This window comes from Homo sapiens, chromosome 1, assembly GCF_000001405.40.
Source record: "Homo sapiens chromosome 1, GRCh38.p14 Primary Assembly".
Taxonomy (NCBI): Eukaryota; Metazoa; Chordata; class Mammalia; order Primates; family Hominidae; genus Homo; species Homo sapiens.
Genome location: NC_000001.11, coordinates 100648569 through 100663163, shown reverse-complemented (window position 1 = coordinate 100663163; position 14595 = coordinate 100648569). Strand labels below are relative to the sequence as shown.

Genomic DNA, 14595 nt, shown 5'->3' with positions numbered 1-14595 from the left:
TCACACACCAGGTCCTGTTGTGGGGTGGGGGGAGGGGGGAGGGTTAGCATTAGGAGATATACTTCATGTTAAATGACGAGTCAATGGGTGCAGCACACCAACATGGCACATGTATACATATGTAACAAACCTGCACATTGTGCACATGTACCCTAAAACTTAAAGTATAACAAAAAAATAAATAAATAAAAATAAAATAAAATAAAATAATTTTAAAAAAGAAATATTCATAAGATGTTGATTATAAGACATCAATACTAGCAATGTTAAAATGTATATAATGCTACAATATTAAAATATGGAGAATGTTAAAATGCAGAGTTGGCTCTGAATAGGTACAGCATGATTTTATTGTGGATTCTTGTAATTGATTATATCGTGTGATGAGTATTGTTACTAGAGAGAGTAATATGACCCAATATCTCAAAGTATACCCGGTTTGATAAAATGCACGAATTTTAATATAGCTCGTAAAATGTTGAATCAGTGGCAGTTACTTGGCCTTGGATCATAAATTACTCTAAGCCTTTAGTTGATAAGTGCTGCTTGATGATGTAGTAACTGATGGACAAGAATTCTGTTGTGAATGTTAATGCCATCTGTTGAGTTATGATGTGCTAGTTCATTCTAGTTATTGTCAGGAAACTTACACAGATCTATCTGTCTATACCTATACCCATATATCTATACATGTATATGTCTATCACTCTATCTATCTATCCTGTGTGTGTTTTTGTGTATGAAATGAGTCATTAATGTTGAATGTTTAACATCTACAAAAGCTGCCACCACAGGGCCACTTTTCCAGAACCCTTTTCATGTCCATTGTCTATCAAGAATCATAGAAAGGCCTAGAAAATGTGGTCATTTTGAAACATGAGGTTTATTGACCTGGAGTTATATATATGTAACTTATTACAGTGGAATAATCTAAATTGGGTTTCCCTTATTGGATAAAAAAGTATTTCTTGTATCTAAAGCCTGAACATGGTACTGTAATTATTCCTCCTTACTACTCACTGGTCCAGGGATATTTTGTAACCCCTCACAATAACAACAAACACAGCTATCAACTGAGGGTATTAATGTGCTAATCACTTCAGAAATTTTGTGAAGAAAGAATAGTCCACATGGAACCAATAAATTGACTTCAACTTATTTATGTATTCATTCCAACATTTTTTGAGCACCTTCTGTGTGCCAGGCACTGTTCTGTGTACTGGGGCAAACAAGAAAGACAAGGTCTCTGATTTCATGGTATTTACAATGCAATGGGTTTGGGGTGAGGAACAGACAATAAACAAGTGAACAAATAAGAAAATGTCAGAATGTGAATACATGCCACGAAGAAAATAAAAATATAAAAAAATAAAAATATGTGGTAGTGACTGGTGGGTGTTACTTTAGTCGATATTGTCAGGCAAGACCTGTCTAAGTAAATGTGTACTGATAGGGTGCCCAGGACGATTCTCTCTTGAGTCCAGAGCTCATCTGCACCTGCCACTATATAATAAAGTTTTATCTCTATGACCACAAGACAATGGTTTAAATTAATTGAAGTCTGTTGGTCTTGTATTAAAAGTAGCTTGATGCAACTCATCTGTAACGTGAGTTTATAATTAGGTATAAATATGATTTGAAATGTAAGATAACAGTTGGTTTTGGGCAATATAATTTAAAATAGTTACAAGATACCTCATACACAAGCAGTCTGGCTGACTTCCATGAGAACAACTATCTCAGGTAGCCCCTTAAACAAAAGACTGTTTGTGGTTATTTTTCCAGGGCAGCTGCTGACCTAGGACTGCTAATGGAATAACTGTTTCTCTGTGTCTGAATGAGCAAACCCAGTTCCTTTAGAATCCCATGGTTGCCAAAGCAAAGCTAATTCAGTCCCTACATCCTTGTGCTCCATCTCTTGGAATGATGGGAAAATGTAACATTTGCTCCCCTGCTGGTCTAGGAACCCTCCTTTTCTTCCCCTTTACCATGCGTCCAGGCATGGTGGGAGAGGACAATAATCCATGCTTTTGTTTTACACATTTTCTGAGTACAGGTCATTCTACTTTTAGTTAGATTTTTTAAATTAGTCTGTAATTAGCCAACACAACTCAGTCTCACCTCCCTGTTAATCCAGCCCTGCTGGATCTTGTCTTTATTTAAAATTTAGACACTTTGTTCAGTATGGATTTTTTGCATTAACTTTGAGTCTCAAAATATTGTATTAAAATATTATTTGTCTTGATCACTAAGATCTTTGGCACCCCCTAAAATTTTGCCTGACTTATGTCATACTAGTCCCAACCCTGTCTTGAATGATGTTAGAGCAGAGCCCACCAACTGACCACAATGAACTGTGAGAAATACATGTTTGTTGTGCTAAGCCACTGAGATATGAGTGCACTTGTTATAGCAGCTGATGTCATTTACCCTAACGAATACAACTCATTAATCGCTCCTGAAATCTTACTCAGTGGATATTTCTTAAGCTTTTCCTTTATTTCGTAAAGAGCTAGATTGCTGTATTATCCAAAACTTCTTTTGTGGATAACTCAGGAGAAAAGCCAACAGTTAGCTTCTATTACCATTTTGGAATCCATTAAAGACCTTATATATCTCCCATTCTAATAGCATACATATACAATTCTTGAGAAGCAGGATTGCAGAGGGATTCTATGTGTAGACTGTGGAGTCAGATATTCCACATCTGAATTTCAGTTTGGTAGAATGTGAAATCTTAGACTAGATACTAACTTCCGTAAACCTCAATTACTTCTTCTATAAAATGGGGCGCATAATAATACCTCCTGTTACGTGAGGAATAAATGAGATAAAACTTAGCATAGAGTAAGCACATGATAATTATTAGCAGTTACTATTCTAATTTTCTTTTGGTTGGAGCCACTTCTTACCTCTCTGCCTTTGTTATTTGATGGAAATTTGAATTGGGAGGATAATTATCAAACAAAATTACTTGATTTCTTTTTGCAGAATCATTGATGTTAAATGGAAATTTGAACTGCATATTAAACAAGCTGTACTATGGAGAAGTCCTGTGGCAGTCCTGTAGCTGGAGAAGGAAATAATACCGACAGGAAAGGTGACAGGAGCCTTTTGGATTGCCACATCCAGAGACTCAGGTGCCAAGGCTGGCTCCAGAGAGCCTGGTCTCCCACCCATATGGGAGCCATCAGCAGGGGAATTGTAAATAAGGATGGAGTCTCCTCACCCATTGGATTAAATTCAAAATTTGCAATGGCAGTGAGAATTAAGATATCTTTGCCAAAAAGATATCAAGAGAAACAATGGATGTTGGAATTTTCTTTTGAAGTCAATTTCCCAATGGGAACTTTTTTTCCTTGCTTGTTACCTGTAAGTGTCTCAATTCACAGAAAGGATTACTAACACAAAGAAAAATGTTACAACATTCCCCAATGTTTTAATGACTATTTATAGGAAAGATTCTCCTTTGGCTGATGAGAGAAGATGAGACGGGATAAGAGAATTAATTTCGTTTCAATTTACAGAAAATATTTGCTTCCTGGATTATAGACTCATAGAAGCTTAAAGCCAAGAGGGACCTTAGAAATCACAAAATCACTCAAACATTAATTTATTCCTTTTTTGTTGTTGCAAAAATGAAGGCCTCAAAAGGAAGTAGAAGCCAGGTCCCCTGGTTCTTGTCTAATGTTTATTCATTATGATATGATTTTTTGCCCGGTATGTTAGTCAGCTGTTTTTAAAGTTCTGCAGTTACACAAAAGCCTTCCAATGACCTTCATGCCACCCAGACTTTGCAGCAGGATATTGATATCATCTTCATAGTTGTAAGTTCTAATTCTTCTTATACTTAAAATATTTGAAGTGGAAGGGATCAACCAAGGGTTTAAAAATTAATACCAATATCTATTCAAAAGGACAAGCAATAAATTTTAGCTGCTTAGCGCTGGGACTGAGACATTCATCTGCTCTTGTTATTTAGAGCCTGAAATAAAATGATCCATGCTTTTGTAGAATACAGAAAGAAGGAGGAGCAGCTGTGGAAGGGCTAATGGCCAAAGAGATTATCTTTGGAGGCACTTGCGAGAGTCTAAGTGGCACAAAATCGAGAGAAATTATGCTGTTACACTACTTTACACATTAACTCAACAAATATAAATATGTGCCACATGCTGCATGGGAAATGGTGAACCAAAGGCTGGGCTTTAAAGGGAGGCAAGCATGTCAGAGTAAGTAATGCAATCTGCTAAGCACAGTAACTAACTTGGATCTGAGGGGTCAGGCAGGGCTATAGGGATGAAGACTGGCTTTGCAGGGTGAGTAATCACAGGTGGACAAGACAGAAGAGGTGTTCTTAAGCAGAGGAAACAGTAAATTGTAAATGTCTTTCATAGGAGATGGTGCCTCATGAGCTAAATTCTGAAGGATGAGTAAGACTAGGTGGACAAGATAGGAAAGAACAATTCTGGCAGAGGAAGAAAAGCAAAGCAAACTACTAAGCTTCATTACAGATTTCATAAGCTCCAGAAGGTCAGGGGCCGTGAGCTGCTCAACTTGGTAATCCTGACTCTAGCACAAAGCCTGGCCAAGGGTACGATATTGGAATGAATGATGGGTGAGTAAATCAATGAATGCATCTGGGAGGCAGGTATTCTCATTTTCAGTCCTCAGACTTTGGCACTGTGCCCCCAAATAGTGCCTGGGAATTTCCATATTTTTCCAAACTCCCCTGAACTTCTAGCATGAGGCATCCGTCATGCCTCTGTGACCAAGGGTAACATTTGGCAACAACTGCAGCTGCCCAAGTCTCATCGGTTTGAAGCGGAGGAAGGCACTGTTTTCTTAGCTTTGGGCTCTGCTGGGAAATGGAGTAAACCTTAATACAGAGATAAAACATTCCTGCAGGATAAATCAAGTTGTCCCTTTATAAAAACATGGACTAGGGGGTGTGGGTGTGAGTGGTAAGCATATTAAACTCTCCCCTACAGAGTGGGCAATCTTCCTTTGAAGTTACTCTTTAAATAAAGTATCGTTGATTGTAGCTGGATAAGGTTCGCTGTCCCTCTGGCTACAGAGGTGACATGAGTTCAAGAGCAAAGTGGCTAACACTCTCCAGACCCCTCATCCCCGAAGCTTTCTTGCGTGCACTAAAGGTTAAGCTAGCAAACTGTGGTTGCAAGGGCATGGGGAAATGTTACTTTCATTATGTCGGGTTTTTTTAGGTATAAAAGCAAGACATGTAAGTGGTAAATGTTTTTTCAAACAGAACAAAAGGATAGCATAATCAAGTAATATGAGTTACTGTTGAACTTAAGTGATAAGTAAATGGGAGAAAGGTCAATATATCAATCTTTCCATCTTGTGTATGCTTGTAATTTTCCATTATAAAACATTATAAAAGAGTTACCATTCCTCCTCATGGTCTGTATTCCCTTAGACTCCCTATCCCACTCTCCAGTTAGATATGATAATGATTTCTTCTATATTCTTCCCCAAATTTTCTGACCATTTACAAGCTCACTTATGCATATACAGAGCCTATACTTTTTGTAAATAGTATTTTACAAAGTATATTATTCTGTACCTTGAGTTTTTTCTTCTTTACAATATAATGAGATTTTCCACGGCAGAATATGTAGTTCTACTTCATACTTTTAATGGCTGTTTAGCATTCCATCAGAAGTAGATAACAGTCTGTAGTATTAACTTTATTTACATCTTTGCAAATATAATAGGTGAAGAAGTATTTCATTAATTCTAAGTGAGGTTCAGTCTTTTTTTCATATGTTTATTGGTCATTGACATTTCTTTTTCTGTTAATTGCCCATTTGGGTCTTTTGCTCATTTCTCTTTAGGGATGGATTTTTGGGGGATTTTTTTCCTTTTTTGTAATATCTCTCTAATAACAAGGCAATTTTTCTTTTTTCTGATGTGTGCTGCAGATATGTGGGGCGCAGTATAGTGATGTGGTTGAGAGTGACCCTCTGGAGCCAGATGACCAGCTGCCTGAACACTTGTAACTTTGTCTTGGTCTCAATTGTGACAATATGGCCATCCTACTCCATTGAAATATACTATTGGTAGATAATGTTATAAGACTTGTCACAATTGAGACCAAGAACGCCAGAGGGGAAAAACTTTTCTCAGCACACAAAGAATTATAAACCTTCCTACAAGCCTTTCCCAAGAGCTTTCACAGATGGATCCAGAACACAGTGACTGCTGTCAGAGGCTGAAAGCTTCCCATTTTGCAGACTGATGGCTCATTTGGAAGTGCAACCCCTCCAGGAGTCCCTGACTACTGAATCATCTCTGCCTCCCACCACTTCCTTCTCTTCTCTTCTCACCCACTTACTTACCTACTCCCCCAACCAGGAGATCAACTTCTTGGTGTACTCTCAGCCAGGGAAACTCTCCAAACACAGTAGAAAAAACCTTGTTATCCTTGATCCCCACCCAAGACCTAAGCCCAACTGGTATCCCGTTCTCTTCCTTCTCAACCCAATCCCCATTCCTCTCCTCCCTTCCAGATCTTCACTCTGAGCCCTCTGTAACTCTCATCCCATGATCCAGCCCCCTACAGCCTGGACCTCTTCATTGAGCCTTCCCTCCTTGACTTGATTGAAACCTGGCTCCCCCAGAAACACTCAGCAGCCATGTCTCAAGTGAAAGCTGCTCTTTTCCCCACATTCCATATAAAACCTTTGGATCAAAAGGTTAGGTCATGATCTTCTTTACTCCCTACTTCTGCTTCCAGGCCATTTCTCCCTTACCACTTGTGAAATTTTTTCTATTTCTTGCCACTAAACTTACACATTTACCTTTTCTTTCAATCCTCTTTTCCTCCCATTTCAATATTCCTCCCTGTCTAGGGTTAACATCTCCACTTGTTCTCTTGATCTTATTCCCCTCCCACCACTTATCCTACTGTTTTTTCTCCCCCTCTTGTACCTTCATCCTCTTCTCCATGGATGACCCCTTCCCATCAGCATAGTTGGCAGAACAACATGAGTGGACCCAGTGGGTAATGGTTAACAGCACAGACTCTGGAGCCAGGTAGCCTAGAGACAGATGCTGACACCACTCTTTCCTAGCTGCATGGCTATATGGTACTTTTTTTATCTGTAAAATGGAGACAATAAGAATATCTCTCTTTATGAGGATTAAATCAGTGAACATGTGTAAAGCATTTAGAACAGTGCCAGCCCATTCGCAGGTATTATGTAAGCATTTGTTAAGTAATTCAGCATTTTAAGACATCTCTCCCTTTCCACATGAACCTAACACACAAACAATATGCTCTTCCTAGTTCCCAGTGTCTTCTGCACTCAACACCCTATTGTCTTTCCTTCCCTGGACCAGCCAGCTGTACTTTTTGAGTCTCCTACATTTATTTCACCACTTTGTCACTTTATGTTTATAACCCAACTTCCAATTGACCTCCTGCAATTGGAATTCAATAAATCTAGTCTTACCAAGGGCATGACTTGCAACCTCCTACTTGAATCCATAGTCACTTTTTAGTCTTCATTCACTTGTCATAGGTGTTTAGTGTCACCAATTATTCCCTCCTTAAAAGGCTCACTAGAGCTAGAAGACTAGCTCCATGCCACCATCTCTTCTGTTTCTCAACCCAGCAATGCAGCCACTCCTCTTCCTCCTTTTTATGCTCCTTTTGTTGGCAAAATCCCTTAAACAGGGGTGTACTTAGGTTTCTCTTCTAGGTTCTTCCTGTGATCTCAGGCTTACCATCCATATGCAGTTGGTTTTCAAATCTCTGTATCTATCCAGCCAGCTGCCTCTTGGAGATCAGCATTTGGATGAGGCACTAAACTCAGTAAGTTCAAATGTGTAAATTAGTGTGCCTCCTTCCAAACATTTCCTACTATCTGAGTTCCTGCTCTTAGAGAATGGTGCCAGCATTCACCCTGTTGCCCAAGTTTGAAATCCAGACTCACTTCCTGGATGTGCCCCCTACCTAAGTCTCCACATCTTACAAATCATCTATTGGCTCTAATATCTTCTAAGTCGAATTTCTTCTCCAAAAACTGCCACTACCTTCACTAAGTTTATTTTAATTTCTGGCCTAGATTACTGTCTCCAGACTTGCCCTGTCTCCTCCTCACTAAAGCCCGGGTGATCCTTCCAAAACTGATTGGATTCCCTGTCTCCCTGGCTAAAAGCATGTTAATGACTATCCATTGCCCTAGAGTCAATCCAAATTCTTAACCCAGTAACTAGGGTATCTTGGAGGTCACTTGCACCTGCCACAGAGGTGATTTTTAAGAGGAGGAATTTTGTGACCCAATTGTTAAATTGTTGGTAGCTGAAATTCATGCCATGGAAATCAGCACATGTCCCCAGTGCTAGTTAATTAGCATACTTCATCTACCCAGCCTCATCTCTTAACACTCCCCTGCTGGAATTCTGCTGTTCAGCCAGACTGAACTACTGTCAATTGTCTCTCACTTCTGCACCCTTATACCACCACTTTCTCTGGAGGGAATCTTCTCCGCTCGCTCCTGGCTGTTTCCCAGTCATCATTTAGGTCTTACATTAGCAGCCACCTTCTCAAAGAGGACTTTTCAGAGGCTCTGCTCTCAGGTTGACCAATGCAACCCTTCTATGTACTCTCACAACATCCTGTGCTACATTAGCCACTGTCTACATCTGTGACTACTTACACATTGAGGGCTTGCTACTTTCTACACAATGTAAAAAGGGTTGAAATTCATAACCTTATTTAATCCTCACAGCAATCATATGAGATGGTTACTATCTTAGATGAAGACACGACCTAAGATCAGCTGTCATTTGTACACAGTAACACATCATTTATCAAACGCCTGGTACTTATCTGAGTACATAATACTTACCCATTCATTTGTCTGAATCACTTACTAGCCTGTAAGCTCCATGAGGTTAGGGTCTGCCTTTTATACCCAATACTGGCACTTGGTAGATGTTCAACATATGTAGATATTAAATAAATTAACTGTAAAATACCAAAATAACTGCTTGCTATATTCTTATTTTTATTTCCAACTTTTATTTTAAGGTTAGGAGTACACGTGCAGGATGTGCAGGTTTGTAACATAGGTAAACATGTGCCATGATGGTTTGCTGCACAGATCATCCCATCACCCAATTATTAAGCCCAGCATCCATTAACTATTCTTCCTGATCCTCTCCCCTGTCGCCCCCGCAATGCCCTCCAGTAGGCTCCAGTGTGTGTTGTTCTCTGCCATGTGTCCATGCGTTCTCATCATTTAGCTCCCACTTATATGTAAGAACATGTCATATTTGGTTTTCTCTTCCTGTGTTAGTTTGCTAAGGATAATGGCCTCCAGCTCCATCCACGTCCCTGCAAATGACATGATCTTGTTCCTTTTTATGGCTGCATAGTATTCCATGGTGTATATGTACCACATTTTCTGTGTCTAGCCTATCATTGATGGACATTCAGGTTGATTCCATGTCTTTGCTGTTGCGAATAATGCTGCAATGAACATACCTGTGCATGCATCTTTATAATAGAATGATTTATATTCCTTTGGGTGTATATACCCAGTAATGGGATTGCTTGGTCAAATGGTATTTCTGCCTATAGGTCTTTGAGGAATTGCCACACTGTCTTCCACAATGGCTGAACTAATTTGCACCCTCATCAGCAGTGTAAAAACATTCCTTTTTCTCCCAACTTCACCAGCACCTGTTGTTTTTTGACTTTTTAACAGTAGTCATCCTGACTGGTGTAAAATGGTATCTCATTGTGGTTTTGATTTGCATTTATTTAATGATCAGTGATGTTGAGCTTTTTCTCATATGGTTTTTGGCCACATGTATGTCTTCTTTGGAGAAATATCTATTCATGTCCTTTGCCCACTTTCTAATGGGATTGTTTGTTTTTTTCTTGTAAATTTAAGTTCCTTATAGATGCTAGATATTAGACATTTGTCAGATGGATAGATTGCAAAAATTTTCTCCCATTCTGTAGGTTGTCTGTTTACTCTGTTGATAGTTTATTTTGCTGTGCAGAAGCTCTTTAGTTTGTTTATTTATTTATTCATTTATTTATTTATTTATTTAGATGAAGTCTTGCTCTCTCACCCAGGCTGGAGTGTAGTGGCACGATCTTGGCTCACTGCAACCTCTGCCTCCTCTGTTCAAGTGATTCTTGTGCCTGAGCCTCCCAAGTATCTGGGACTATAGGCGCATGCCAACATCCCTGTGTAATTTTTATATTTTTAGTAGAGATGGGGTTTCACCATGTTGGCCGGGCTGATCTTGAACTCACATGATCTTGAACTCACATGATCTTGAACTCAGACCTCAGATGATCTGCCTGACTTGGTCTCCCAAAGTGCTGGGATTACAGGTGTGAGCCATCACACCTGGCCTCTTTAGTTTAATTAAATCCCATTTGTCAATGTTTACTTTTGTTGCAATTACTTTTGGCATCTTTGTCATGGAATCTTTGCCCATGCCTAAGTCCTGAATGGTATTGCCTAGGTTTTCTTCTAGGATTGTTATAGTTTGAGGTTTTACATGTAAGTCTTTAATTCCTCTTGACTTGATTTCTGTCAAGGATGGTGTAAGGAAGGGGTCCAGCTCAAATTTTCTGCATATGGCTAGCCATTTCTTCCAGCAGCATTTATTAAATAGGGAATCATTTCCCCATTGCTTGTTTTGTCAGGTTTGTCAAAGATCAGATGGTTATAAGTGTGTAGTCCTATATTTAAGTTCTCTATTCTGCTCCATTGGTCTATGTGTCTGTTCTTGTACCAGTATTCTGCTGTTTTGGTTACTGTAGCCCAGTATTATAGGTTTTTTTTTTTTTCTTTTTAACATAAACTCAAGATTTTATTGTCTTCATAATAAAACAAAAGATGATACTTAGAACTGGATCACTTGATCCTTTTTCTTTTTATCTCCTCATAGTTCAAAATGTTTGCATCTTTTAGTAGCCAGTATTCACTTAGATCTGCAGTTGGGCTGAACACACTCAAGCCTTAGCACAATCTTCTTTGTAGTTTTAGCCTTTTTCTGGGAAATCAGCTTAGTCTGCCCACCATAGCCACTCTGCTTCCTGTCATAATACCACTTTTCCTGGGCATACAGAAAATCCTTGCCCTTCTTGCACTGCATTACTTTGTGAGATTGGTGCTTGCCACACTTTTTACAGGAAGTCCGGCGGGTCTTAGAAATATTCACCATGTTTGCACTAGCACTATCACCACAGAAAGAAAGAGGATGGGCCAGAAATGGAAGTATATAGGTGTAGTATAGTTTGAAGTCGGGTAGTGTAATGCCTTCAGCCTTGGTCTTTTTACTTAGGATTGCCTTGGCTATTCAGGCTCTTTTTTGGTTCCATATGAATTTTGAAACAGTTTTTTTTTTAATTCTGTGAAGAATGTCAATGGTAGTTTCATGGGGATAGCATTGAATCTATAAATTGCTTTGGGCAGTATGGCCATTTTCACAATACTGATTCTTCCTATCCACGAGCATGGACTGTTTTTTTTTTGTGTGTGTGTGTGTGTGTGTCCTCTGATTTCTTTGAGCACTGGTTTGTAGTTATCCTTATAGAGGTCCATCACTTCCCTTGTTAGCGTATTTCTGGGTATTTTATTCTTTTTTGTGGCAATTGTGAATGGGAGTTCATTCATGATTTGGCTCTTGGCTTGCCTGTTGTTGGTGTGTAGGAATGCTAACAATTTTTGCACGTTGATTTTATATCTGGAGACTGCTGAAGTTGCTTATCAGCTTAAGAAGCTTTTAGGCTGCGATGATGGGGTTTTCTAGATACAGGATCTCATCTGCAAACAAAGATAGTTTGACTTCCTCTCTTTCTATTTTAATATCCTTTATTTATTTCTCTTGCCTGATTTCCCTGACCAGAACTTCCAATACTATGTTGAATCGGTGAGAGAGGGCAAACTTATCTTCTGCCAGTTTTCAAGGGGAATGCCTCCAGCTGTTGCCCATTTGGTATGATATTTGCTGTGGGTTTGTCATAGATGGCTCTTATTAATTTGGGGTATGTTCCTTAAATACCTACTTTATTGAGAGTTTTTAAGATGAAGGATGTTGAATTTTATTGAAAGCCTTTGCTGCATCTATTGAGATAATCATGTGGTTTTTGTCTTTAGCACTGTTTATGTGAGGAACCACATTGATTGACTTGCACATATTAAACCTGTCTTGCATCCTGGGGATAAAGCCTGCTTGATTCTGATAGATAAGCTTTTTGATATGCTGCTGAATTCAGTTTGCCAATATTTTGTTCAGGATTTTTGCATTGATGTTAATCAAGGATATTGGCCTGAAATTTTGTTGTTGTTGTATCTCTGCCAGGTTTTTGTATCAGGGTGATGCTGGCCTCATAGAATGAGTTTGGGAGGAGTCCCTCCTTTTCAATCTTTTGGAATAGGTTTAGTAGAAAGGTGCCAGGTCTCCTTTTTACCTCTGGTAGAATTCAGTTGTGAATCTATCTGGTCCTTGGTTTTTTTGGTTGATAGGCTATTTATTACTGCCTCAGTTTCAAAACTTATTATTGGTCCATTCAGGGATTCAATTTCTTCCTAGTTCAGTCTTGGAATGTTGTATGTGTCTAGGAATTCATTCATTTTTTTCTAGATTTTCTAGTTTATGTGCATAAAGGTGTTTACAGTATTCTCTGATGGTTGTTTGTATGTCTGCAGAGTCAGTGGTAATATCCCCTTGATCATTTCTGATTGTGTTTACTTGAATTTTCTCTCTTTTCTTCTTTATTTTTCTACCTAGCGGTCTATTTATTTTATTAGTTTTTTTCAAAAAACCACCTCCTGTATTCATTGATCTTTGGACAGATTTTTCATGTCTGTATCTCCTTCAGTTTACTTCTGATCTTGGTTATTTCTTGCTTTCTGCTAGCTTTGGGGTTTGTTTGCTCTTGATTCTCCAGTTCTCTTAATTGTGATATTAGGTTGCTAACTTGACATCTTTCTAGCTTTATGCTTTGGGTATTTAGTGCTATAAATTTCCCTCTTAACACTGCTTTATCTGCATCCCAGAGATTCTGGTATGTTGTGTCTTTGTTCTCATTCGTTTCAAAGAACTTCTTGATTTCTGCCTTAATTTCATTATTTTCCCAAAGTCATTCAGGAGCAGGTTGTTCAATTTCCATGTACTTGTGTGGTTTTGAGTGAATTTCTTAATATTGAGTTCTAATTTGATTGTGCTGTAGTCCAAGAGACTGTTTATTATGATTTCAGTTATTTTGCATTTGCTAAGAAGTATTTTACCTCTGATTATGTGATCAATTCTAGAGTAAGGGTCACATGGCAATGAGAATGTATATTCTGTTGCTATTGCGTGGAGTTCTGTAGATATCTATCAGGTCCCCTTGATCCAGAGCGGAGTTCAGGTCCTAAATATTTTGTTAACTTTCTGTCTTTATGATCTGTCTACTATTGTCAGTGGGGTATTAAAGTCTTCCACTATTATTGTGTGGGAGTCTCTCTCTTTGAAGGTCTCTAAGAACTTGCTTTATGAATCTGGTTGCCTCTGTATTAAGTGCTTATATTTAGGTATATCTAGGATAGTTAGCTCTTCTTATTGAACTGAACCCTTTACCATTATGTAATGCCCTTTTTTGTCTTTTTCTATTTTTCTTTTTGGTTTAAAGTCTGTTTTGTCAGAAACTAAGATTGCAACCCCTGCTTTTTTCTGTTTTCCATTTGCTGGGTAAATTTTCCTCCATCCCTTTATTTTGAGCCTATGTGTGTCTTTGCATATGAGATGGCTCTCTTAAAGACAGCATATCAGTGGGTCTTGGTTCTTAATCCAGCTTCCCATTTTGTGTCTTTTAATTGGTGCATTTAGCCCATTATATTTAAGGTTAGTATTTTTATGTGTCAATTTGATTCTGTCATCATGATATTAGCTGGTTATTTTACAGACTTACTTATGTGGTTGCTTCATATTGTCACTGGTCCGTGTACTTTTTGTACAGACCAGGGTGCATATTGTCACTGGTCTGTGTGTTTTTGTTGTGGCTGCTAATGGTTTTTCCTTTCCATATTTAGTGCTTCCTTCAGGAGCTCTTGTAAGGCAGGTCTGGTGGTAACAAATTCCCACAGCATTTGCTTGTCTGAAAAGGGTCTTATTTCTCCATGGCTTATGAATTAGTTTGGCCAGATATGAAGTTCTGGGTTGGAAATTCTTTTTCTTTAAGAATTTTGAATATTGGTCCCCAACCTCTTCATCAAGCTTGTAGGGTTTCCACTATTAGTCTGATGGGCTTCCCTTTGTAGGTGACCTTGCCTTTCTCTCTGGCTGCCTTTAACATTTTTTTTTTTTTCATTTTGATCTTGGAGAGTCTAAAGATTAAGTGTCTTGGGGATGATCCTGTGGAGTATCTTACTGGGGTTCTCTGCATTTCCTGAGTTTGAATGTTGGCCTGTCTAGCTAAGTTGGGGAAGTTCTCCCGGATGATATCCTGAAATGTGTTTCCAAATTGGTTCCATTCTCCCTATCTCTTTCACATAGCCCAATCAGGCATAGATTTGGTCTCTTTACATAATCCCATATTTCTTGGAGGTTTCATTCATT

The 14595-nt window shown here is 38.7% G+C and overlaps 1 long non-coding RNA gene and 1 pseudogene across 1 annotated transcript in view, besides 1 other annotated feature; both read right to left on the bottom strand.

Moving 5' to 3' along the window:
* The window catches only part of LOC124904231 (uncharacterized), a 49913-nt gene extending 42994 nt beyond the window's left edge, over positions 1-6919 (bottom strand). The window contains exon 1 of the long non-coding RNA XR_007066256.1: positions 6360-6919. This is a non-coding gene — a long non-coding RNA (uncharacterized LOC124904231). The remainder of the gene's footprint in view (positions 1-6359) is intronic.
* Positions 6903-7078: a silencer, noted in NCBI's record as "fragment chr1:101121642-101121817 (GRCh37/hg19 assembly coordinates)". NCBI's record gives its function as "represses an EF-1alpha promoter that drives an FKBP-Casp9 reporter gene in an ReSE screen in K562 erythroleukemia cells {active_cell/tissue: K562}" and the evidence as "EXISTENCE:reporter gene assay evidence [ECO:0000049][PMID:32094911]".
* Positions 10847-11250, bottom strand: RPL36AP12 (ribosomal protein L36a pseudogene 12; annotated as a pseudogene).